Raw genomic sequence first — 23,143 nt, forward strand, 5'->3', positions numbered from 1 at the left:
ATGTAGTAGCTGCTCCTTTTGGTACTTGCTCTCCAGGGATTGGCACGTTGCTTTTTGACCTTAGTTTAACTCAGCAAGAATGTATTAACTTACTGTGGGCATGATACTGTGCTTAGAACAGGAGGATGAATCAAGCCCAGGCAATCCTCGGCCTCTAGTGTGCAGAGAAGACAGGCATGCAAACATGTTATTTGAGCTAGAACCAGTGCCAGGCAACAGCTCTTACCTTGTCTTTCTTCCTTTAAGCTTAATAAAAAACCCCGCAGAGAGAGCAGATTTGAAGCAACTCATGGTGAGTCTATTTATTCCGGATTCTTACAGTACCTGTTTATTCATTTGTTCTTCTCTGTCAGTCATCTGTGCAGTACTTCCAGAGCCCATTCATTCCCTGCCCACTGTGGTCCAGCTGAGCCTGGGGCTGCAGAATACCAAACACCAGTCTCCTTTGCTCTCCCATCAGTTTAAGGGAAAGCTGGGGTGACCCCCGCAGCCTGAGTAAGCATATGCCAGAGGAAATGCCTGAGGGGGCCATGGGAAAGAAAAGGCCAGCCCACCCCCTTCATGGGGATGCGGCCTTTCCCTAATACTGACTGCCTCATCTTACATTCAGCCTCCTTCCAGAGTCACTCTCCGCCTGCTGTCTCGTTTGGTGGCAGTGGAAATAGCTAAGTAATACTGTAAATATCTGGACAGCCATAGACGGTGTATATAGTATATAATATGCACTAAGTCCATCATTTTCTTTGTCCCTTCTAACAAGCCTGTGAGGCATTTAAGGCAGAGTTACTGTCTCCATACTGCACGAGTAGGCTCCAAGAGGTGACTTGCCCAAGGCCTCACAGCTGCTGTGACTGGTGGAGCAGGTCTTTGGGCCTGCAGCTGGCCCCACTGTTGCTCAGGGGCAGGTGCCAGGTGCTCTTTCCAAGTGCAGCACAAGCTCTAGACCTGAAACTCTTGGATTTTCCTTCCTGGTGGGTTTTGTTTTTTTGTTTCTTTTTAACACCACGTCCTCTCGTTTCCTTACATGCAGGTTCATGCTTTTATCAAGAGATCTGATGCTGAGGAAGTGGATTTTGCAGGTTGGCTCTGCTCCACCATCGGCCTTAACCAGCCCAGCACACCAACCCATGCTGCTGGCGTCTAAGTGTTTGGGAAGCAACAAAGAGCGAGTCCCCTGCCCGGTGGTTTGCCATGTCGCTTTTGGGCCTCCTTCCCATGCCTGTCTCTGTTCAGATGTGCATTTCACCTGTGACAAAGGATGAAGAACACAGCATGTGCCAAGATTCTACTCTTGTCATTTTTAATATTACTGTCTTTATTCTTATTACTATTATTGTTCCCCTAAGTGGATTGGCTTTGTGCTTGGGGCTATTTGTGTGTATGCTGATGATCAAAACCTGTGCCAGGCTGAATTACAGTGAAATTTTGGTGAATGTGGGTAGTCATTCTTACAATTGCACTGCTGTTCCTGCTCCATGACTGGCTGTCTGCCTGTATTTTCGGGATTCTTTGACATTTGGTGGTACTTTATTCTTGCTGGGCATACTTTCTCTCTAGGAGGGAGCCTTGTGAGATCCTTCACAGGCAGTGCATGTGAAGCATGCTTTGCTGCTATGAAAATGAGCATCAGAGAGTGTACATCATGTTATTTTATTATTATTATTTGCTTTTCATGTAGAACTCAGCAGTTGACATCCAAATCTAGCCAGAGCCCTTCACTGCCATGATAGCTGGGGCTTCACCAGTCTGTCTACTGTGGTGATCTGTAGACTTCTGGTTGTATTTCTATATTTATTTTCAGTATACTGTGTGGGATACTTAGTGGTATGTCTCTTTAAGTTTTGATTAATGTTTCTTAAATGGAATTATTTTGAATGTCACAAATTGATCAAGATATTAAAATGTCGGATTTATCTTTCCCCATATCCAAGTACCAATGCTGTTGTAAACAACGTGTATAGTGCCTAAAATTGTATGAAAATCCTTTTAACCATTTTAACCTAGATGTTTAACAAATCTAATCTCTTATTCTAATAAATATACTATGAAATAAAAAAAAAAGGATGAAAGCTACTTTTGCTTTTGTGGTAAGCTTTTCAGTTTCTTTAGTACACAAGAAATACTGGTTTAGCCAAGCAACACTGGTGAGGGGGAAAGGTGAAGATGAGGAGGAGGCTGGAAGGCAGAAACAGGACACCGAGTTCAGTGCTTTGGACTAATGGGGCTTCCTGTAATTTCAATCTCTGGACTCAGTCCAGCTCTTCTCACCCAACACCCTTATCTGTGACTCTTCCAACCACCTTCCTTGTGGGACCTGTGAATAGATCCTGTATATTCCTTTGATCTCTTTTATACAAGGGAAAAGCAGCTGATGGGGGACTGGGAGCAAATCTGAGAAAAATGACAAAACATTTCTTATCTCACAGAACATTTCTCATTTTCCATATACCAATAGTTGAGCTGAGGGCCTGCCTGCACTTTTAGGCTGTCATGCTCATAGGAGGGCCTTGCTGGTGGCCAGCTTGCCTACCTGGTGTGGGAGCTTTCTGCACAACATAGGACAGTCTGTCTCCTTTGCGACATTAAGCAATGGTTTCCCTTCTTTCACCACTTACACTTAACCACACCTTCCTGGAAAGGAGGAATGTGCCTGGCGCTGGCTTTGTCATGCCTGTGAGGTGGCAGTGATGTCACAAAGCCATTGGGAACTTCTTTTAGGTACATTTGAGGCTGCTGGTCAATACCTCTCCGCTCATTATTTTCTTTGAAAGGGCAGGTTACAGAAACTAAAGCCAACATATATATTTATAAATAAAAGGCCCATTCCTTTTTAGATTAAAAACAAAACTTGGGTAAATAATCTTCTAAGTAGGTAGTCCAATCTAGAGGTACCAGAGCTTGGGATATTGCCAGGATTTTAAAAAAATGATCAGTGTTGTATATACTGCTGCCTAAGCTAGTCAACTTTTTTTTCTCTCACTGTGAAGTATAGCTTTTCTAAGTCAACAGTTTAACTTATACATTTTCAACATATAAACATTTAGGCTGGGTTTTAACATTTACACTGTGTGTCTTTTACAAATGACAGGATACCACCACTACTGAGAATGTTTCATTAAAATGAGAATACTACATCCTTAGAAGAAATGTTATAACCTGGTATCTAAAACCTAGATCTGACCACTTTCATGCTCAGTGTCTTTTGAGGGGTGTTTAGATTTTTTTTTTTTAATTTTTAGCCAAGAATTATGATCCCCGCATGAATCTTGCAGTGTTTTGAGCTCCCAATGCCAGATTCTTACTGAGATACCAATGATAGTTGGATTTTTAAATGATCTCATTAGCACCTCATAGCAACCTGTGAAACTGCTAGAGCAGATGTGAGTATCTTCACCTTACAGATGGGAACGTGAGTTGCAAAGAGGTGAGAAGACAAGTGACCAGTTTGTGGTAGAGCTGGAATTCATAGTCAAGTTTTCCAGCTTTTAAAACTCATGCTCATATTTTAAATTAGACCCCCAAAATTTATGTACCTTGATGCTTTTTGTTCCCAAACTGTCTTCCCATTGTGTGTTCTAAGGAACATGCTCATTTAAACTTCTGGCTGTTTCCTCTAAAAGCAGCTCAAAATAACTTCAATGAAATGTGGATTAACAAAAAAAGTATTCTTTGTTTTCTTTGGGAACTGTTACATAAGTTCTGCTTGACATGATTCTTTGTGTTTTGTTTGGCTTTTACTGTTGCTTGGGCAGGGGAAATTAATTTTATAAAATTAAGCAACTACTTATTTCATGGTAGTCAGTGGAAAAGGGACAGTATGCAGAAATGAACCTCAACTTCAGATACTAAGTAAAAACTCTTATTCTGTAACTGTCATCTGTTAACAAAAATCCAGTCTTCCGGCCTGGTGTAGTGGCTCACGTGTGTAATCCCAGCACTTTGGGAGGTCGAGGCGGGAGGAAAACCTGAGGTTGGGAGTTCGAGAGCAGCCTGACCAACATGGAAAAATCCCATCTTTACTAAAAATACAAAATTAGCCGGGTGTGGTGGTGCATGCCTGTAATCCTAGCTACTCTGGAGGCTGAGGCAGAAGAATCACTTGAACCCGAGAAGGGGAGGTTGCAGTGAGCCAAAATCGCGCCATTGCACTCCAGCCTGGGCAATAAGAGTGAAACTCCGTCTCAAACAAAACAAAACAAAAAACAAAACAAAAAATCCAGTCTTCCAAGCATGGCACATCTCTCTTAAGGACCAGAAATGGATTTCAAACCATCCTGTTGTATCTTTTCCTCAGAGAAGGAACTGCTGCTTCTCTCTGTCGCTATCTAGAAACCAGCAGGCTCCATGATGGCTACTTATAAATTTATTTATAAAACATTTTACCAGTGAGTGATGTCTCAAGTGAGAGGTGGTAACAGATACACAAAGCAGTTTATAGCATGCAATATTTCAATGCCTCTGAGAGGTAGAAACAGCTTGTGCTCTCAGACGGCCCTCAGTCCTTCCCCTTGTCATCTTTCTGTCCTAGACTGTGTCCTAACTGCTCACAAGGGTTCAGCGGCATGCAAACAGTCTTTAATTGGTTTTCTTCAAAGAGGCATTGTTGACTGGAAAGACTGGCTTGTATTTAAACTCTGCTCTTTTTGCAAATGACAGACTTTCTCAACAGTATTTCAGAGGAAATTTTGTTCTGAACAGTTAACTGAATCTGACCAGATTACAGACAGCACCACCCATATTACTCAATGCTAAGACACAGCATCTTTGATTTTCTGTATGTCATAACATTCTGAAGCTTGAGTTACCGATGGAGCCATTTTTGCAACTACACATCCTCCTTATAGTTCTTGCTTTCCTTTCAAGCAGATCACAGGGCCCAGGGCAAGATGATTTCCTTGAGGAGAAGTAGCCTGAGCCTTAGAAATGCAATTTGTATAACTGACCAGCCTGGCTTTCCCCCTCCTTTAGGAATCTGATTCTTCTTCCTCTTCCTCCTCCTCCTCTTCCGTCACATGACTCTTTGTGCTCAGCTCCAGGGTTGTTTGGTTGATTGATGCTTCATTGTCTACATGCACCAACATCTGTATTGGCCAAGGGCATCACAGATTAGCAGGAAAGATGCTGGCCTCAAAACAGCAAATTCTTAAAAATGACTTAAAATCAGATCTCAATTGCATATCTATCCCCAGTACTTATGACTAAGAGGTATGGCCACTTTCCTTTTATACCCCCACCTCCATTACCAAAATGGGGCAACAGTAAATGCCCCAGATTCAGTAGAATGTTACCTCATTTACAAACATTATTACACAAAGCTCCATAAGATTTGTGCCAACTTACATGTGCTGCTGTATCATGGTTTTAAATGTCTTAACACACAAAATCTGGGAGAACTGCTCAAATATTGTGTACTTAGATTTTGCTGACTTACTTGAGGGCATTTGGTAAGAGATGAGTATGATGAGAACTGGAGCTCATCTTTTAGCACTGTGCCTTGTACTTGAAGCCACACTCTTGAATCTCAAGGTTACTTATTCACAAAAAATCAAGAGTTTTGACATCGTCCTACAAAAATCTCCACTCTCCCCCGGGTTCATCTGAGTAACTAGACAGAATGGATGACGAGGAGGATGGAGGTAAAACATTAGTAACTACTTAATTAATTAGTGTATAACTAGCTGGTAGGAAGGTGGTTAATGGAGAGTTGCCACCTTATTAAACCAGAAAACTGTTATCAGCACTTCTCAGAGCCCTTTGGGCTAGGTAATGTGATTTACAACAGTTCTTCACCACCCAAGCAGCATGGGAGCAGAGCAGACTTTGCATTCTCTCCTAGGCCTGCACTTGATTAAGCTTACATCATGTGACTGTTCAGGTACAGTGTGAGAAGACAGCATCTCATCCCCTCTTCTAGAACTGATCATTGATTGGAGGGCTAATTCTTCAACCTAGAAAAGAAGAGTTGAGGACACTTTTCCTTACTATTTCACTGGACTACTGATGTGGGTAAACTGCTGGGCACACTATGAAACATTTGCATCAAGAGAGGGAATGAAAACTATCTCTGTGTTGCTCTAGAGGGAAAGTTGAGGGGGTAGGCTCTTAGGTTTTCTCTCTTTTAAGGAGATGAGTAAAGAAAGACTCTAGCCCTTCTCCCCTGGGCTGAACAGGTGTTCTGGCTGAGTCATGGCTTCCACTTCTACAGACCTAGCAACTCAAAGTACAAGTGTGTCATTAAAACAGCCAGGTGTCATCTGATTCCTCAGAGAGAGAGATTCCCTGGACCTGAGGCTGTTACTCAGTAATGAGAACGTGAAGGAAAGAAGAATAGAAAACAGAGGTGTTTGCTGAAGCATAAGGAAATCTGGGCTTTGGAGGTGGTCATCAATACACTCATTAAGTACTTGTAAGGGTACCGTGGCAATATAGAAACACAAATAAGTGGAGGGCATTATGACTTCCCTAAGGAGGCCGGGCGCGGTGGCTCACGCCTGTAATCCCAGCACTTTGGGAGGCTGAGGCGGGCGGATCATGAGGTCAGGAGATCGAGAACATCCTGGCTAACACTGTGAAACCCCGTCTCTACTAAAAGTATAACTTCCCTAAGGAAAAATGCTTATGATTTTGATATGTCACAGGTGTACAATACTTTTCCTTTTACAAAGGGCTTTGGTAATCCTCACCTCATATGGACTTAAAGTTTCTGAAAAAGGGCCGAGCCCAGTGGCTCACGCCTGTAATCCCAGCACTTAGGGAGGAAGAGGCAGGTGGATCACCTGAGGTCAGGAGTTCGAGAACACCTTGGCCAACATGGTGAAACCCCGTCTCTACTAAATACAAAAAATTAGCCCGGCGTGGTGGCACATGCCTGTAATCCCAGCTACTTGGGAGGCTGAGACAGGAGAATCCCTTGAACCCGGGAGGCGGAGGTTGCAGTGAGCCAAGATTGCGCCACCGCACTCTAGGCTGAGCAACAAGAGCGAAACTCTGTCTCAAAAAAAAGATTCTGAAAAGAATGCTGAGCAGGGATTAGCATAATAACCTCCCTGGGACTTTTTTTTTTTTTTTTAAGGCAGGGTCTCCCCATATAGTTGCATGCTGGAGTGCAGTGGCACAATCTGGGCTCTCTACAGCTTTGACCACCTGGACTTTGGCCATCCTCCCACCTCAGTTTCCCAAGTAGCTGGACTACAGGCACGCACCACCACGCTCAGCTAATTTTAATTTTTTTTTGTAAGGCCGGCCGCAGTGGCTCACGCCTGTAATCTCAGCACTTTGGAAGGCCGAGGCGGGCTGATCGCTTGAGCTCAGGAGTTCGAAACCAGCCTGGGCAACATGGTGAAACCCCGTCTCTACTAAAAATACAAAAATTAGCCGGGCGTGGTGGTGCACACCTGTAATCCCAGCTACTTGGGAAGGTGAAGCACGAGAATCGCTTGAACCCAGAAGGCGGAGGTTGCAGTGAGCCGAGATCATGTCACTGCACTCCAGCCTGGGCGATACAGTGAGGCCCTGTCTCAATTTTTTGTAGAGACGAGGTCTCACTATATTGCCCGGGCTGAGGGGCTGCATTAAGCACAGGTTTGGGAAGTGGCCCACGTGGGCCTAAATCCCGACTCCTCCTCAAGGCCATGGCGTCAGTAACAAGAGCCACCGGAAGCTCCAGACGTTAGGACAAGTCTCTTCTCCCAGGGCCTCAGTTTCTTCCTTGGTAGCATGGGAGGATCTAGGAGTTCCTTCTGGCTTGGCAAAACTAGAGCATTTCAAGCGCCAAAACAAACTAGAAAACAGCAGCTCAGGAGGAAGGGGTCGGTGGCCAGAGGGGTCTAGGCGAGCCTTCGGGAGGGAGCACTTCCTCAGCGTGCTGTCTGAGGGCGATGAACATTTACAGGAAGCAGCAGGTAGGACTGCACTTGCCAAACACAGATCCCTGAGCCTCACCCTAGACTTGCGAGGTCACGATTCTGAAAGATAGGGCCTAAGAAGCGCACAGCAAACTCCCCAGGTGATTCAGATACCTGTTTGTTTGTAAACCTCTAAATTGGCGCCACCACAGCTAGTGAGTAGCGGAGAACTGGCCGCAGCAGGTGGTCACCACAGAGGCCCAGGTTGGGGGGAAATGGTCGCTCGGGAGGAATGGAGGAGGGGCAGGAGAGGGCCGCGGGGTCACCTTGAGGCGGTTCAGCTGGTCGTGCAGGGCTGCCTTCAACCGCAGCAGCGTCTCCTCCTCCTTGCGCAGTTCCTGAAGCCGGCTCAGCATGTTGCCTGGTCACATAGCCAACCTCCGGGCTGCTGTCGGCCCGGCACTCGGTGATGACGCCATCGCCGCCGACTCCCGGAAACCGAGCGGGGAGGCGGGGCTGCCCGACACATTGAGGAAAGGCGAGGAGTGCGCCCCCTTCCGGCGCCCGCCGTAGCCTGGCCACTCCGCGGGGGACGAGCTGCAGGAAGGGGTACAGCCTGTGTCAAAACACCTTGATTCATGAGTAATGATCAGGATTTTGAAATTAGATCCATGGAGCTGTAAAGAACCTGAAGAAATCTTGGGTTTGGCTATCCTTTAATCCGATAGGCCATTTGCGCACCAAGTGGTCAAACACCGTTTCAAATGACCGGGTGAACAGCACTTCCAATGTGGTGTGCCACCAAGTGGCTATCTTTAACCCCACAAAACTTGCACATGTGTTTGAAGGCAGGCACCAAATCAGTAGCACATGAACTCTACTGTGTTAAGAGGCCCTGCAGGGTAGGACTCACAGTGGACTTTAAAGGGGTAAGGCTGCACAAAATAGAGAAATAAAGAGCATGAAAATAAAGCCGTGCTAAGAAACGACGTGCTTAAGAACTGAGATTTGGCCCTGGAAATGGGGAGGGTTAACAGATCACCTTGGCTGTGAACTGAGACTGTCTTGACAGTTCGAGACTGTCAGAGAGAAGCTGACAGTTTAACAATCCAGATGCAAAACAAGACTTTTGACACAGGACAAGAGGTTAATTCTAGGGTAATATTTGCAGTTTAGCTTTATGGGTAAAAAAAAACACCCTTATATCTGGAGGCATTTCATGGGTACTTCTTTTGAACACAGTTGGTTAACATAATCACCAAGACACACAGGCAGTCCTGAAAAATGCTTCTGGTACTTTTCAGAGAGTCTTGCTCTGACGCCCAGGCTGGAGGGCAATGGTACAATCTTGGCTCATTGCAACCTCCACCTCCCAGGTTCAAGTGATTCTCTTGCCTCAGCCTCCAAGTAGCTGGGGTTACAGGCATGCACCATGACTGGCTATTTTTTATATTTTCAGTAGAGACGAGATTTCATCATGTTGACCAGGCTGGTCTTGAACTCATTGGCTCAAGTGCTCTGCCCACCTTAGGGTCCCAAAGTGTTGGGATTACAGATGTGGGCCAGTGTGGCCTTCTGGCACTTTTTCAAACCATGGGTGAAAATACTCAACTCTATTGTTATAGCTGGTTAAAAAGAACACTTCTCAAGAGGTAATCAATTTTACTGCAGTACCAAAAAAATTGTGCTCTCCAGTTGTGCCCTCTTGTGGTTAAAGTTAAATCTTTACAGAATTTAACCTATTTTCCATCTGGTGGGGAGCTAAACTTGAACAGCCTCTGCGTTTCTGACCAAGTCCTGTTACACCTATTTTTCAAGCCACATTATTTAGAAAACCACAACTTTTTTTAAATCATTCCCCTTCCACTGAACTCCATGGACTTAGTATAAATCCATGCCCCATTTTATACCACACTATATAAAATGTAACAGTCTAAATTATGGCCAACAAAATGTCACTTTAAAAAAATTCTAACCAAGCTTTACAGAGCACACCAAGTCATGTTTCTCACTGCCTGTATAATCAGGTCTTTATTCAAAAGAAGCTGTCCAAAATGATTTGACCTTTATGGAATAATCAAATTTAAGAGTTTATGCAGCAGGCTTCTTCTCCTCTGTAGTAGGTTTCTTCTCTGCAGGCTTCTTTTCAGGGGCTGGTTTCTTGGTAGCTGCTGCCTTTTTTCCCACCAGAGGCTTCTTCTGCTTCTTAACACCAACAGCAGCCTTCTTTCCTTTCTTACCTACCACAGGCTTCTTGCCTGCAACCGCCGCCTTCTCATCTGATTTGGCTTGTAGTGCCGCTGCTGCAGCAGCTGCCTTATCCACCCGGAGCTTGTGCTGCAACAAATTAGGCAGAAAACAGTAAGAATCAAATCCCTGTAAGAACTTAATGTATCAGGAAGAGAAAAACAAAAACAAAACAAACCAGCCGGGCACGGTGGCTCACGCCTGTAATCCCAGCACTTTGGGAGGCCGAGGCAGGTGAATCACCTGAGGTCAGGAGTTTGAGACCAGCCTAACAATATAGTGACACCCCGTCTCTACTGAAAATACAAAAATTAGCCGGACATGGTGGCGTGCGCCTGTAGTGCCAGCTACTTGGGAGGCTGAGACAGAAGAACTGCTTGAACTTGGTAGGTGGAGGTTGCAGTGAGCTGAGATCACGCCATTGCACTCCAGCCTGGGTGACAGAGCGAGATTCCGACTCAAAAACAAACAAACAAACAAAAACTCCACTCACATTCCTGGCCTGGCGAAGAATGGTGTTCCGGCGCATGGTCTTTGCATATGGGTTTAGCTTCAACATGATTCTCAAGTTTTTCAGTGGGTTCTTCTTTAGGACTCTGCGATGGATCTTCTTGCTATAAAAAAGCAGATACTGTATCAACATTTTACTTAACATTATACACATACAAATTTTTGAAACAACCAATAGTATAGGGTTGGGGCGAGAATTACACTCTAAGTATCACTTTACCGTGGTGCTCGAAGGGCTCTTTGGATCTCTGGGCTTTTCAAGATTCTGCTAAGATCTGTATTAATCATCTTGTGCATGGGAAGACTGAAAGGGAAAAGATTGACATGTACATGTAAAAGTAATCAACCAAAGAACAGGAAGCTCAACTGAAGCTTTATTTTTAGCCACTATGCTCTCCAAAATATCTACTACACTATCACTTCTCATAAACATGGACCAGGCCGGGTGTGGTGGCTCACCCCTATAATCCCAGCACTTGGGGAGGCCGAGGCGGGTGGATCACCTAAGGTCAGGAGTTCCAGACCAGCCTGGCCAACATGGTAAAACCCCAACTCTACAATTAGCCGGGTGTGGTGGCACAAGCCTGTAGTCCCAGGTACTTGGGAGGCTGAGACAGGAGAACTGCTTGAACCCGGGAGGCGGAGGCTGCAGTAAGCCACGATCACACCACTACACTCCAGCGTGGGTGAGACAGAACAACTCTGTCTCAAAAACAAAACAAAAAACCAAAAATATAGACCAGGTGAGTCTCATTTTGGCATACTGTTGCTGCACATAAGGGGAAATGGGAATAAATTTAGAAAACATGTAAGCCAATTCTGAATGTTAATATCCACAATATAAACATCTGTGCTTAGTATATGAAAGATACTTACTTGTAGTTACTCTTGAGGGAAGCGGCTTTACGCCAAGTGCCGTACAATTCATCTAACTTCCGGAAAGCACTTTCAGTCCAAATGCAGAAACGTCCCACATGCCCACCAGGAGCAAGCTTCAAAATGTTCAGCTTGCTTACATTAAGCAGAGTAATTCCTTTTAAAGGGAAAGAAAAATTAGGGAGCCTGTATTCCAACAAAAGAAACACAAATCATCTTTATGGCTTAAGAGCTATAAAAGGTACCTGAGAACTTATTAATTATGAAGTTTCAACCATCAATGGTGCAACTCTTTCAGCCATAAATCAGAACTTCCACAAAATCATTTGTTTCAGAAACACGGACCTTAAGTGGAATCTCATCATAACAAAAGCTGAGTAGACTTGCAGAGTATACCTAGTCAATATATGTAAGCAGTTTAATTACCAGGGATGTTTCTGAAGGCCTTGATGATACCATTATCCTCATTATAGATGATGCACGGGCCCCTGCGCTGGATACGGCGACGGTTTCTCATTTTGCCTTTGCCAGCTCTCATTCGCTGAGAGGCATAGACCTACAAAGTGAGCAGTTTTAGTATTCTGATTAAGATAGAATCTCTGCAATAGATCTTCAGAGTTTTAATTCCTTTTTACAGATGATTAAACTGGGCACAATAACTTGCCAAGGTTACACAGAGCCATAAACAGCAGTTAGGATTCAAACCCAAGTAATCGGGCTCTGAGGTTCTTGTTCTCTCACACATTAAGGATTAGCTATACTGCCCTTATCTTCTGAAATTCAAAGTGACAAACTGTGAACAAGGAGTACCAAACTGTAAATGTGCTCATTGAACGGACCTTTTTGATATCATTCCAGGCTTTAAGTTTCTTAAGGAGCAAAACAGCTTCCTTGGTCTTCTTGTAGCCTTCAACTTTATCTTCAACTACCAAAGGAAGTTCAGGAACTTCCTCAATACGATGACCTAACAAAAACCAATGACACTTACTTGGTTATCCTGAAACTTTTGGAGAAAAAAAAAAAATCAAACATTTTATACAACCAATAAAAGCAAAATGGTATTCCGTTTGCCAAGTCAGAATTTCCACAAATATCATGTGTTTCAGAAACACGGACCAATTAAGTGGAATCTCATCATTTTGACAGTTAAATAAAAATGCGATGGGTACGCAACAGGCAAGTTTAAGTTGGAAGTTTTCTAAGGATATACTAAACTACTACTTGAATAGTTCCCCAGTTACGCTAGTATTCCCTGATTGATTTGTCAGATTTAAGTAGTCAGACCTAGTATTTAGTAAAGGATTAAAATTTAATCAGACACTTCAGAATGAAAAGAATGTGCAATTTTAACAAAGGTTCACGTGAAAGAAAAAGTGGGGCATTTTGTATCACTGATACGAAATATTTTTGATTAAAAAATTTTTAAACCGGTATGTAACATGTATTTCTGGAGTACATTTGATAACTGAATGCACTCATTTGTCAAGATCAAATCAGTGTAACTGGAATATCCATGAACTAAAATATTTTATGCTAAAAACATTCAAATTATTCTCTTCTAGCCATCTTGAAATGGGTTACTGTGAATAAAAATCACCCTAATGATCAAATAGTAGGTGTCTTATTTCTTCTATCAAACTCTCTTATATAAAGTATTACAAACCTTTAGACATGACCAGTGCTGGTAGGGCTGAGGCAGCCAGGGCAGAACAGATGGCGTATCGTTTTTGGGTTGTGTTCACTCTACGATGCCAACGGCGCCAGGTTTTGGTTGGTGCAAACATTCGGCCTCCACGACACATCTATTTTTCCAGTCAAGAATCACATTTCTCAAATTTTAGTAATTACAACAAGGTTATTTCTTGCTCAGTAAGAATTTTCGTCAACCTTCTGTACCAGCTTACTGACAGCAGGCAACTGTCGCTGAGAACAGAGTAAGACGCAAATTACGACATCATTGCAAGCAAAATAACCCCATATAAATGAAGCCCCTTCTCTTCAAGACAAAAAAAAGTAATATTTTTACACCGTATTATCATCAATAAACCAGACCCAGGCCGCTAAATTCCATCAGAGATGACCAGTCTTAGGTAGTGAAACAAAGGATACGTTTCCAAAAGCACCCTGGCCAGAGCGGTGAGTCCCACCACCTCGAACTCTGGGAATTCGAGCCACAGCTCTGCCAGTACCCCAAGACTCAGCACTAGTCTGATGACCTAAAATTGAGAAGAGATAAAAGTTGTAGCTGCTTCATCATACATACCAACCCATGACTATTATGCATGGTAGCAAACAGCATCAGAACATCCGAGAAAATCATGTGGTTCAGAAACACGGACCAATGAAGTGGAATTTCATCACTACTGTAAAGCAGTCCCTAAAATATCTGCAGAAGATATAAATCCATACCTGCTAATTCACTGACAGCATAGGGCTGTCTGTTGTTTTTGCGCAAGTTGGTGTGAACAAAGTTCACAATATCTGGTCGAATAGGAGCCTTGAATACAGCAGGCAAAGTGACATTTTTGCCAGATGACTCCCCCTTTTCGGAGTACACCGATATCAGTGGGCGAGCACACGCCTAAAGAAAAAGACAAGGATTATTTTTATTGACAAGTAATGTTTGAAGCAAACTCTTCTCATACGCCAACAATACCATTAAATACTCAATTGCAGAAGAGACTGGTATGGTGAGGCAAACAACCCTTAAACCAAAATAGCAGTAAATGACTAGAACCCTTAGAATCTCAACCTCTACTGCACAATTTTATTTTCAAAAAGAATTGTTTATCATAAAACTTTCAAAGCAAGCCTTATAAAGCACAATAGCTAAATCAAAACCATATTGTAAGGTTTGGAGATGCTGTTTAATGCCAATTAATCAGCAAATCCTGTCTACCCGGGCTCTACTCATCCCAACTTCCATCCCTGTCCCACTCACCCTCACCCTCTACTAAACACGTGTTTCCAAAGCTCACCAGTGGAAAGACTGGTGATATTACTTTTTGTTTAAACCTCCAAGTCTTCCCAACTGTGAGTAAACTGAAAATCCTGAGGCTGACCTACACCATCTTCTCTACTTCTGATCTCAACTCCCATACACTCTTCCAGATATTTTTCGGTCTCAGGACCACCCAGCACTTGCCTCAGACTTTCCAAGTGTTCACTCTAAAGCTCCTCTTTGCCAGCTTTCTCACATCCTTCAGGCCACTTTAAGCTTTCTCTGATCACTGTTTAAAGCCAAACCACTCCTATTCCCTATGTTTTCATCTCTTACTACCATAGAATATTACTACGTATTTAGTCCAACGCAACTACCATCCCAGTCAGGACAGTGTCTGTTTTGTTCGCTTAACTCCCCCGGCACACAACACTACATAGTATATACGAACACTATTTGTGGAAAAGCAGTACACATATAACACTGGTCTTATTACGAGTTGGCTAAGGATTCAAAGATTTTGATAACACCGAACAATTTTTAGGCGAAGAGAACCAGAAAGCTTTTAATAGAAATGATTCCCAAGCTAGGCAGAGACAAGCATCCAGAAAAAGGCTAAATAAGCAAATATTCTAACAGAAGGTCCCACTGCTCCTGAGAACGACCCAGTGCTTTCCACTACTGCTTCCCGGCGCGTCCTGTGCTGGGAACCCCACGTTGCCTCTAAGATGGCTGCCGTATCGCCGCACATCCCAGTTCCACACCAGAAAAAGACGCCTTTGGTCCTCATCTCCCTCTCCTCGCTCTATCTCCTACAGATTCTATGCTCCGAACCCCAAATCCTTCCTTACTGGCCCCGAGATACGGGGTAAGGCCAGCCAAGAGAACTTCCACTCACCATGGCGGAGAGAGGAGACAGCCACGCTCCTCTCAGCCCGGCTGCTGCCACAGGAAAAGGAAGTGCTTACCACTCCCGCTGTATATGTCACCTTCCCCTTGACCGCCCCACCTTGCCCCGCCTAAGAACCAACACGGATACAAAAAATATCTCTCTACCACACTACAAAAGTAAAAACGAGAGTGTTATTTCTTTATTTGTGGGAAATTACGGTATCTATTTTCTTCCAAACGTAATAATAATTCTTAGAAAATAGGGACTCCTTTTTGCGGAATAATCCATAGGGGGCGAGGCCAACTCTCGCGAGTCGAGGTATCTTCTCCCCAACCACTGCTCTTATTTTAATTATTGCAGACGGAAGTTGAAGACTATTGACATAGTAAATAGCTCTGGGTGGCTTGAAACGAAAGTTTAACTTTGCGGACAAACAGGACTTATTGTAGGGGGTGGTCAAAATAGTCCCGGCGGGGCGGGGCCATGACCCCTGACGTCGCCGGTCCGGCGCGCAGTTCAGTTTGGCGGTTCCGGTACCGCTCTCACATTGGGGCGGGATGTGGGAGCGGCTGAACTGCGCAGCAGAGGACTTTTATTCTCGTCTCCTTCAGTGAGTCTAGTCTCTTCTTTTGGCTGGGGTCCTGGGACAGCACTTCTTTCCCTGGGTGTCTGGATCCCCGCCCTAAGCCTCTTGCCACTCTGGGGATCAGCGCTTTGCCAGCTTTCCTGGGGTCCAGGAGTTGGGGAGAGGCCGGTTCTCGGCTCCGGTGTGGGGTTGACCGTGTGGGAGCTTGCTTGTCTCAGGAGAAAACGTGTACGTCATCAAACGAGATGGAAGGTGGCAAGTGTTCCAAGAGGCGATTTATTCTTTCTGCTGATGGACACACTTGCCATAAGTAGAGGCACCACCCGGGATACGGAAAACTAGGTGTTGGCATCCTTCCCCTGTTTAAAGCCTTGTTGACTCCTAAGAATGAAATGTGGTGTTAGTCTGTTAATCTCTATTATTCGAGGTAGTTGCCACATCAGCTACAATTGTAATGATAGCAGATTGGTGTGTTGCATTTTGAAAACACCTTTATTTTTTCACTGTGCTCCAAGACTTCATTTTATTCTTATGGTGAAGTACTACTACCAAGGGGATTCCATCAAGTTCTGCATCCTATGTAAAAATCTAATCCATAGTTCTCAAATTTAGCATGCATCAGAATCACCGGGGGATTGTCAAAACACAGATTGCTGGGCCCCACTTCCAGGGTTTCTGATTTAGTAGGTCTGAGATGGGGCCAATTAATTTGCCCTCCTGATAAATGCTAGGTGTAACGGATACGGCTGGTTGGGCATCACACTTTGAGAACCGCTGTGTAATCTAGCCCATGATTTCCTAAATGTTATAATTTTTCATTGTTTATCTTCATTGCTTTTTTTCCTGCTTACAAAAGTAGTGACGCTTGTAAACGTTTTGAATAGAAAGAGCACTAGCTTTTAAAAAAAACTGGCATGTCTTGGACATCTTTCATTGTGACTCCTTATAGATCTATCTCATTGTTTTTAGCTGCTATATAGTATTTCACTCTATGGCTGTTTCATCTTTATTTAAGATAAGGCCGGGCGCGATGGTTCACGCCTGTAATCCCAGCACTTTGGGAGGCCGAGGCGGGCGGATCACTTGAGGTCAGGAGTTCTAGACCAGCCTGGCCAACATGGCAAGACCCCGTCTCTACTAAAAATACAAAAATTAGCCGGGCATGGTGGCGGGCACCTGTAATCCCAGCTACTTGGGAGAATTGCTTGAACTCGGGAGGCAGAGGTTGCAGTGAGCCGAGATCGTGCCAGTGCACTCCAGCCTGGGCAACAGAGCAAGGCTCTGTCTCTAAAATAAATAAATAAATAAAAATAAAAATCTCCTATTAACTAGGCATGGTGGTGCATACCTGTAATCCTAGCTACTCTGGAGGCTGAGGCAATAGGACTGCTTGAGCCCAGGAGTTGGAGGCCAGCCTGGGCAGCGTAGTGAGAACCCGTCTCTAAAAATAAATAAATAAATAAGTCCTCTATTGATACAACTTTATTTAGACCCTTTTTTTTTTTTTTGAGATGGAGTCTCGCTGTGTTGCCAGGCTGGAGTGCAGTGGTGCGATTTTGGCTCACTGCAACCTCTGCCTCCCGGGCTCAAGCGATTCTCCTGCCTCAGCCTCCCGAGTAGCTGGGACTACAGGCGCATGCCACCACGCCTAGCTGATTTTTGTATTTTTATTTTTAGTAGAGAAGAGGTTTCACCATGTTGGCCAGGATGGTCTCAATCTCTTGACCTCGTGATCCACCCACTTTGGCCTCCTAAAGTGCTGGGATTACAGGCGTGAGCCATCGTGCCCGGCCCATTTAAACCCTTTATACTTCACATAGAAAGTATAACACTGTTTTTTCCCCCACTACTGGGAATTTTCACACGGGACCTCAGATCAATACCTGCAAAGCTGAATTAATCTTTTCCTCCAACTGGACATTCTACTTCTGAATTCTGTCTCTGAAGCGTTCTAATTCCAAAACCCCCACCCCTGCCTTATCTAGTCGATCCTCTTATTCTTCCTCCATCCATGCTCTTTTCATTCAGGCCATTATCAGTTCTCTGAAGTGCTACAAGTTATTCACAGCTATTTTCCTGGACTCCAAGTTATTACCCTCCACATTACTGTCAGATCTTTCCCATTTAAAGTCATTTAGTGAGTTCCTCTTGGCTTTCAGGTTAAAGTTTAAGCCCTATAGCTAAATTTCTACTATAGCTTCCTATACTTGCCTCTCTCTGAGCACTTACCACCATGGAACTGTGGTTTACTTGTTGGAATCCAGTCAGGACTGTGAACCAGGGACTATGCTTTTGTTTGATATTCTCAGCATCTAGCAGGAGTGACTGGCCTCTATTAAACATGCTGGAGACATTATTGCAAGACTGATTAAGTGCATGGTGAAACCCCATCTCTACTAAAAATACAAAAAGAAAATTAACCCGGCGTGGTGGCAGGCTCCTGTAGTCCTAGCTACTCTGGAGGCTGAGGCAGGAGAATGGCGTGAACCCGGGAGGCAGAGCTTGCAGTGAGCGGAGATCACGCCACTGTACTCCAACTCCAGCCTGGGCCACAGAGCGAGACTGCATCTCAAAAAAAAAAAAAAAAAGACTGATTAAATAACATCCCTGAGTTATACGTAAGACATAAACATCTGTAAGAATAAATCACGATCTTTCACAATATGGCAAAAGTGAATCAGTCATAGGCCTAGCTCTTCTGTTTCTATTTCAGGAAGTCATATAGTATTAGATCAAATATAGATATAAATGGTTTCTTGAAACAGTTCTGTTGGGTTCCTTCAATGACTAAAGATTTCTTTTCAGTGTAGATCAGGCTGGTGTGTATTTTGGTATGTTAATGGATTACAGTTTAAGTGCTTTAGATTCACTATTTTAAAACTTTCTTGAATTAAAGGATAATAATTAAATGATATCCTGGAGTTTCATGCTTACATTTTGAAAAGGAAATGGTCAACATAATCAAATTTACTGACTTTGAGTAACAAGTTATAAAAATGGAGGACAGATGCTTCCATTTTAGCCATAGAAATCTAAGGCCTAGGACCCTTAAGTAACTTCTCTGTGGTTACCCACTGATTCAGTAACAGATCAGAATCCAATCATTTTTACTTTGAAAGGTCATGTGGCAAGTTACATTTTAATTTTAACTGGTGATGTGTTTGAAAAGACACACAGTAGAAGCAGGCAACCCAATTTCCTGCTGCCTCTGAGAATCAGTTGTACCCAATTGAGGGCAACAGTCTATTAATCTCTGTCACAGTTTTCTTTTTTGGTTCTCTTTTCTTCTTAACCTAATGCTTCTTTTCTGCTTTTTTTCTCTCTCTGCAACTACATCTTAGGGCTGCTGTAAGTACTTGCTTTTTGCCTTTCCTATAGGTGTCCTGCAGAGATAAAGTGATGACTGACTCCTGAGTGTGAATAACGGGAGAGATAATGTAGTTCTGTTTTTCACATGTGGTTCTGCGTTTCAGGAAATTTAATGAAGAAAAGAAAGGAATCCGTAAAGACCCATTTCTCTATGAGGTATGAACAATTTGGTTTTTAAACACAACTCTAATCCTAAAATTGTCTGTTTTTATTTTTATTTTGAGACGGAGTCATGCTCTGTTACCCAGGCTGGAGTGCAGTGGCGCGATCTCGGCTCACTGCAAGCTCCGGCTCCCGGGTTCACGCCATTCTCCTGCCTCAGCCTCCCGAGTAGCTGGAACTACAGGTGCCTGCCACCACGCCTGACTAATTTATTTGTATTTTTAGTAGAGACAGGGTTTCACCATGTTAGCCAGGATGGTCTCGATCTCCTGACCTCATGATCCGCCCGCCTCGGCCTCCCAAAGTGCTGGGATTACAGGCTTGAACCACCGCGCCCGGCCGAACTTCTGATAAATTATTTAGTCACCACCTATAATCAAGATATAGAATATTTCTATCCTCTCCAAAAATGTTCTTATGTCCCTTTACAGTGAGCCCTTTGCCCTCCCTTAGTTCCTGGCAAACATTAATCTATTTTTTGTCTCTGTAGTTTTACCTTTTCCAGAATATCCTATAAATAAAATCATACAGCCTTTTGGTTCTGGCTTCTTTCAATTAGTATAATGCATTTAAGATTCATCTATGTTGTTGTGAGTATCAACAATTCATTCTATTTCTGAGTAGTATTCCATTGTATGGATGTACCATAGTTTGGTTATCCATTCACCAGTTGAAGGACATTGGGTTTTTTCCAGTTTTTGATGATTATGAGAGCTGCTATAAACATTCATATATTTATTTAGTGTCTAATATGTGCTGACTTGTTTCATAAGTAAACTCTCCATACTTGGGGAGATAAAACCTATGTCCATGAAATAATTAGCAAACTAAAATAAAGTATACATTAACAGACAAGCTGGGGGTGGGGGGAATACTCATGAATGAGAAGCTGTAATATCTATAATTATGTGTGTGTGTGGCTACATATATATATATATATATATATATATATATATATATATATATATATATCTCTTAAAAATCAATGAGGAAGATGGCTGGGCACGATGGCTCATGCCTGTAATCGCAGCACTTTGGGAGGCTGAGGTGGATGGATCACCTGAGGTCAGGAGTTCGATACCAGCCTGGCCAACATGGTGAAACCCCAGCTCTACTAAAAAATACAAAAATTAGCTGGGCATGGTGGCGTGTGCCTGTAGTCCCAGCTACTCAGGAGGCTGAGGCAGGAGAATCACTTGAACCTGGGAGGCAGAGGTTGCAGTGAGCCAAAATTAAGCCATTGTACTCCAGCCTGGGCGACAGAGTGAAACTCCGTCTCTAATAAAATAAAATAATAAAATAAAATAAATAAAATAAAATAAAATATAAAATAAAATAAAATGCCAGGTGCAGTAGCTTGTGCCTATAGTCCCAGCTACTAGAGAGGCTGAGGCAGGAGAATCACTTGAACCTGGGAGGCAGAGGTTGCAGTGAGCAGAGATCGCACCACTGCACTCCAGCCTGGGCGACAGAGCGAGACTATCTCAAAAAAAAAAAAAAATATCAATGAGAAAGACAAAAAAGTATAAAAGAAGAATAGGCAAAGGACACGAGTAAGTAATCAAGAAAGAAACATGCAAATAGAGTTACCTTTCACTGTCTGAATTCTCACTAGCCAAACTCAAGAATCAGATATATCTGGGTAAACTCATTTATCCCTTCCTGCCTGAATTCTTGCTGCTTGATATCTGTATTAGTTTCCTAGAGCTGCTATAGCAAAATACTGCAAATTAGGCAGCTTCAAACACAAAAATTTATTCTCTCCCAGTTCTGGAGACTAAAATTCTGAAATTAAGGTGTCAGCAAGTGCATGCTCTTCCTGAATTCTCTAAGAAAGAATCTTTCCTTGCCTCTTTCTACCTTCTGATGGTTTCCAGCAATCTTTGGTATTGCTTGGCTTGTAAACACATCACTCAAATCTCTGCTTCTGTAGACACGTGGTATTCCCCCTGCGTGTCTATGCCTCTCTCTTTCCTTTTAAGTATACCAGTCATTGGATTTAGGGCTTGCCCTAATCCAAATTAATCCTCATCTTGATTACATTTGCCAAGATTTTATTTCCAAGTAAAGTCACATTTATAGGAACTGGAGGTTAGACCTTCAAGATACCATTTTTGGGGATACACTTCAACCCACAACAGTACCTGAAACTCCTCAAGAACCTAGTAGATTAGAATAACACAGTATCCTTGGCTCTCTGTGCTTGGTTTCTTCATGCTTTAATATCCAAACTAAGAAACCAAATGGATTCAAATAATAAGAATATTTATGATTAATAAGCATATTAGAAACTGCTGTTTACCTTGGCCGAGTGTGGTGGCTCACACCTGTAATCCTAGCACATTGGGAGGCTGGGGTGGGAGGATTGCTTGATCTGAGGAGTTTGAAACCAGCCTGAGCAATATGGTGAGACCTTGTCTCTACAAAAAGCAAAAAAAAATTAGCTGGGTGTGGTGTCACGCACCTATAGTCCCAGCTACTACTACTGGGAGGCCTCAGCTGGAGGATTGCTTGAGTCTGGGAGGTTAAGGCTACAGTGAGCCAAGATTGTGCCACTGCACTCCAGTCTGGGTGACAGAGCGAGAGCCTGTCTTCCAAAAAAAAAAAAAAAAGATAAAAAGAAACTGTTCACCATCATTATTGATCAAACAAATGACAAAACAGTAAGATCTTATGTTTCACTGTGAGATGGTAAAAATAAACAATGAAAATGCTTTTTTTCTTTCTTTTTTTTATTTGAGATGGAGTCACTCTGTCATCCAGGCTGGAGTGCAGTGGCGCGATCCTGGTTCACTGTACCTCTGCCTCCCAGGTTCAAGTGATTCTTCTGCTTCAGCCTCCCAAGTAGCTGGGATTATAGGCACCCACCACCACGCCCTGTTAATTTTGTATTTTTAGTGGAGACGGGGTTTCACCATCTTAGCCAGGCTGGTCTCAAACTCCTGACCTCAGGTGATCCGTCTGCCTCGGCCTCCCAAAGTGCTGGGATTACATTCGTGAGCCACTGCACCCAGCCGTGAAAATGCTTAATATGTTGATATAAGTGATGGAAGTATAAATGTGTAGGTGCAACATTTTGAAAGGCAGTCTAATAGTATCAGTGTGATTTTAGGTATTAATCTTAAGAAAATAATTCAAAAGTGTTCATTTGAATTGATGTCATCAATTGTTTATAATAGCAAAAAACTGGAAACTACTAAAATATCATATAATATGGAATTAGTTATGTGACAAAAGAGCTGTGGTACTAGACTGCCAAAGAACATTGAATGACACAGACATTCATGATATAAAACTATTAGAATCCTGTTTTTATTAGGCAAAATCCTATTAGATATCTAAATAGATACATTTCTATTTTTATTATCATTTTTTAAAGAGATGGGGTCTTACTCTGTTGCCCAGGCTGAAGTTCAGTAGTATGATCAAAGTTCACTGCGGCCTCAAACTCCTGGGCTCAAGTGATCCTCACACCTCAGCCTCCCAAGTAACTGGGACTACCAGTGCACCACCATACCTGGCTATTTTTTTTTTTTTTAAGAGACATGGTCTTGCTGTGTTGTAACTAGTCTCAAATTCCTGGCCTCAAACCATCCTCCCATCTCAGCCTCCCGATTAGCCGGGATTACAGGTGCCAATGTGTCCAGCATATATTTATATTTAAACAGAGTTATATGCTTGGAAAAGGAACGTGTACCAACCAGGCTAATAACGGT

At 43.2% G+C, this 23,143-nt stretch overlaps 4 protein-coding genes and 5 non-coding genes across 23 annotated transcripts in view, besides 8 other annotated features; 2 read left to right on the forward strand and 7 right to left on the reverse strand.

Annotated features, from left to right (window-relative positions):
• Positions 1-2,073, forward strand: part of MAP2K1 (mitogen-activated protein kinase kinase 1) — a 104,633-nt gene extending 102,560 nt beyond the window's left edge. For all 4 annotated transcript variants that reach the window (NM_002755.4, XM_017022411.3, XM_011521783.4 and 1 more), the window contains 2 exons: positions 247-292; positions 1,031-2,073. In NM_002755.4, the coding sequence (NP_002746.1) occupies positions 247-292; positions 1,031-1,144 (160 nt within the window). In that variant the 3' untranslated portion in view covers positions 1,145-2,073. The remainder of the gene's footprint in view (positions 1-246; positions 293-1,030) is intronic.
• Positions 277-8,291, reverse strand: SNAPC5 (small nuclear RNA activating complex polypeptide 5). 7 transcript variants are annotated; one of them, NR_138061.2, is made up of 4 exons: positions 8,171-8,291; positions 5,859-5,948; positions 4,806-5,081; positions 277-1,246 (listed from the first exon to the last, which is right to left on the reverse strand). NR_138061.2 is itself a non-coding variant. In NM_006049.4 (4 exons), the coding sequence occupies exons 1-3, from the start codon at positions 8,258-8,260 to the stop codon at positions 4,965-4,967; spliced, it is 297 nt and encodes a 98-aa protein (NP_006040.1). In that variant the 5' UTR covers positions 8,261-8,291; the 3' UTR covers positions 277-1,246; positions 4,944-4,964. The 7 variants fall into 7 exon arrangements, 4 of the variants coding, with proteins under 4 accessions (NP_006040.1, NP_001316544.1, NP_001316543.1 ...); NM_006049.4 differs by having other exon boundaries at positions 4,944-5,081; XR_007064416.1 differs by having other exon boundaries at positions 1,031-1,246; positions 2,531-5,081.
• Positions 6,942-7,677: an enhancer, noted in NCBI's record as "H3K27ac-H3K4me1 hESC enhancer chr15:66788751-66789486 (GRCh37/hg19 assembly coordinates)". NCBI's record gives its function as "activates a minimal SCP1, AML or CMV promoter by ChIP-STARR-seq in primed H9 embryonic stem cells {active_cell/tissue: H9 hESC(primed)}" and the evidence as "EXISTENCE:reporter gene assay evidence [ECO:0000049][PMID:30033119]".
• Positions 7,487-7,563, reverse strand: MIR4512 (microRNA 4512). Its single transcript, NR_039737.1, has one exon. It is a non-coding gene; the product is annotated as a microRNA 4512 (primary transcript).
• Positions 7,678-8,413: an enhancer, noted in NCBI's record as "H3K27ac-H3K4me1 hESC enhancer chr15:66789487-66790222 (GRCh37/hg19 assembly coordinates)". NCBI's record gives its function as "activates a minimal SCP1, AML or CMV promoter by ChIP-STARR-seq in naive H9 embryonic stem cells {active_cell/tissue: H9 hESC(naive)}" and the evidence as "EXISTENCE:reporter gene assay evidence [ECO:0000049][PMID:30033119]".
• Positions 7,678-8,681: a biological region, named in NCBI's record as "H3K27ac-H3K4me1 hESC enhancer GRCh37_chr15:66789487-66790222".
• Positions 8,046-8,370: a silencer, noted in NCBI's record as "fragment chr15:66789855-66790179 (GRCh37/hg19 assembly coordinates)". NCBI's record gives its function as "represses an EF-1alpha promoter that drives an FKBP-Casp9 reporter gene in an ReSE screen in K562 erythroleukemia cells {active_cell/tissue: K562}" and the evidence as "EXISTENCE:reporter gene assay evidence [ECO:0000049][PMID:32094911]".
• Positions 8,052-8,681: an enhancer, noted in NCBI's record as "active region_9615". NCBI's record gives its function as "activates an Ori minimal core promoter by ATAC-STARR-seq in GM12878 lymphoblastoid cells {active_cell/tissue: GM12878}" and the evidence as "EXISTENCE:reporter gene assay evidence [ECO:0000049][PMID:35858748]".
• Positions 8,544-15,384, reverse strand: RPL4 (ribosomal protein L4). Its single transcript, NM_000968.4, has 10 exons — positions 15,317-15,384; positions 13,887-14,058; positions 13,587-13,693; positions 13,141-13,279; positions 12,317-12,441; positions 11,904-12,033; positions 11,478-11,634; positions 10,822-10,905; positions 10,585-10,705; positions 8,544-10,181 (listed from the first exon to the last, which is right to left on the reverse strand). Exons 1-10 carry the CDS (start codon positions 15,317-15,319, stop codon positions 9,936-9,938), a joined length of 1,284 nt encoding a protein of 427 aa, NP_000959.2. The 5' UTR covers positions 15,320-15,384; the 3' UTR covers positions 8,544-9,935.
• Positions 11,093-12,292: an enhancer, noted in NCBI's record as "CDK7 strongly-dependent group 2 enhancer chr15:66792902-66794101 (GRCh37/hg19 assembly coordinates)". NCBI's record gives its function as "activates an origin of replication core promoter dependent on BRD2, BRD4, P300/CBP, MED14 and CDK7 cofactors, with strong dependence on CDK7, by STARR-seq in HCT116 cells {active_cell/tissue: HCT116}" and the evidence as "EXISTENCE:reporter gene assay evidence [ECO:0000049][PMID:35650434]".
• Positions 11,781-11,847, reverse strand: SNORD18C (small nucleolar RNA, C/D box 18C). The gene has a single exon (NR_002443.1). It is a non-coding gene; the product is annotated as a small nucleolar RNA, C/D box 18C (small nucleolar RNA).
• Positions 12,551-12,620, reverse strand: SNORD18B (small nucleolar RNA, C/D box 18B). Its single transcript, NR_002442.1, has one exon. It is a non-coding gene; the product is annotated as a small nucleolar RNA, C/D box 18B (small nucleolar RNA).
• On the reverse strand, positions 13,340-13,439 carry SNORD16 (small nucleolar RNA, C/D box 16). Its single transcript, NR_002440.1, has one exon. It is a non-coding gene; the product is annotated as a small nucleolar RNA, C/D box 16 (small nucleolar RNA).
• Positions 13,754-14,253: an enhancer, noted in NCBI's record as "H3K27ac hESC enhancer chr15:66795563-66796062 (GRCh37/hg19 assembly coordinates)". NCBI's record gives its function as "activates a minimal SCP1, AML or CMV promoter by ChIP-STARR-seq in primed H9 embryonic stem cells {active_cell/tissue: H9 hESC(primed)}" and the evidence as "EXISTENCE:reporter gene assay evidence [ECO:0000049][PMID:30033119]".
• Positions 13,774-13,843, reverse strand: SNORD18A (small nucleolar RNA, C/D box 18A). Its single transcript, NR_002441.1, has one exon. It is a non-coding gene; the product is annotated as a small nucleolar RNA, C/D box 18A (small nucleolar RNA).
• Positions 15,085-15,384: an enhancer, noted in NCBI's record as "active region_9616". NCBI's record gives its function as "activates an Ori minimal core promoter by ATAC-STARR-seq in GM12878 lymphoblastoid cells {active_cell/tissue: GM12878}" and the evidence as "EXISTENCE:reporter gene assay evidence [ECO:0000049][PMID:35858748]".
• The window catches only part of ZWILCH (zwilch kinetochore protein), a 44,805-nt gene continuing 37,516 nt past the window's right edge, over positions 15,855-23,143 (forward strand). For 2 of the 6 annotated variants that reach the window (XR_001751344.3, NM_017975.5), the window contains exons 1-2: positions 15,855-15,920; positions 19,370-19,421. Coding sequence is in view for 1 of the 6 variants with exons in the window: in NM_017975.5 (NP_060445.3) it covers positions 15,868-15,920; positions 19,370-19,421 (105 nt within the window). In the remaining 5 variants the exon portion in view is untranslated. Of the gene's footprint in view, positions 15,921-19,274; positions 19,422-23,143 lie in introns of all 6 variants that reach the window. The other 4 variants (NM_001287821.2, NM_001287822.2, XR_007064470.1 and 1 more) reach the window with 2 other exon arrangements.

This window comes from Homo sapiens, chromosome 15, assembly GCF_000001405.40.
Source record: "Homo sapiens chromosome 15, GRCh38.p14 Primary Assembly".
In the NCBI taxonomy this organism is placed as follows: Eukaryota; Metazoa; Chordata; class Mammalia; order Primates; family Hominidae; genus Homo; species Homo sapiens.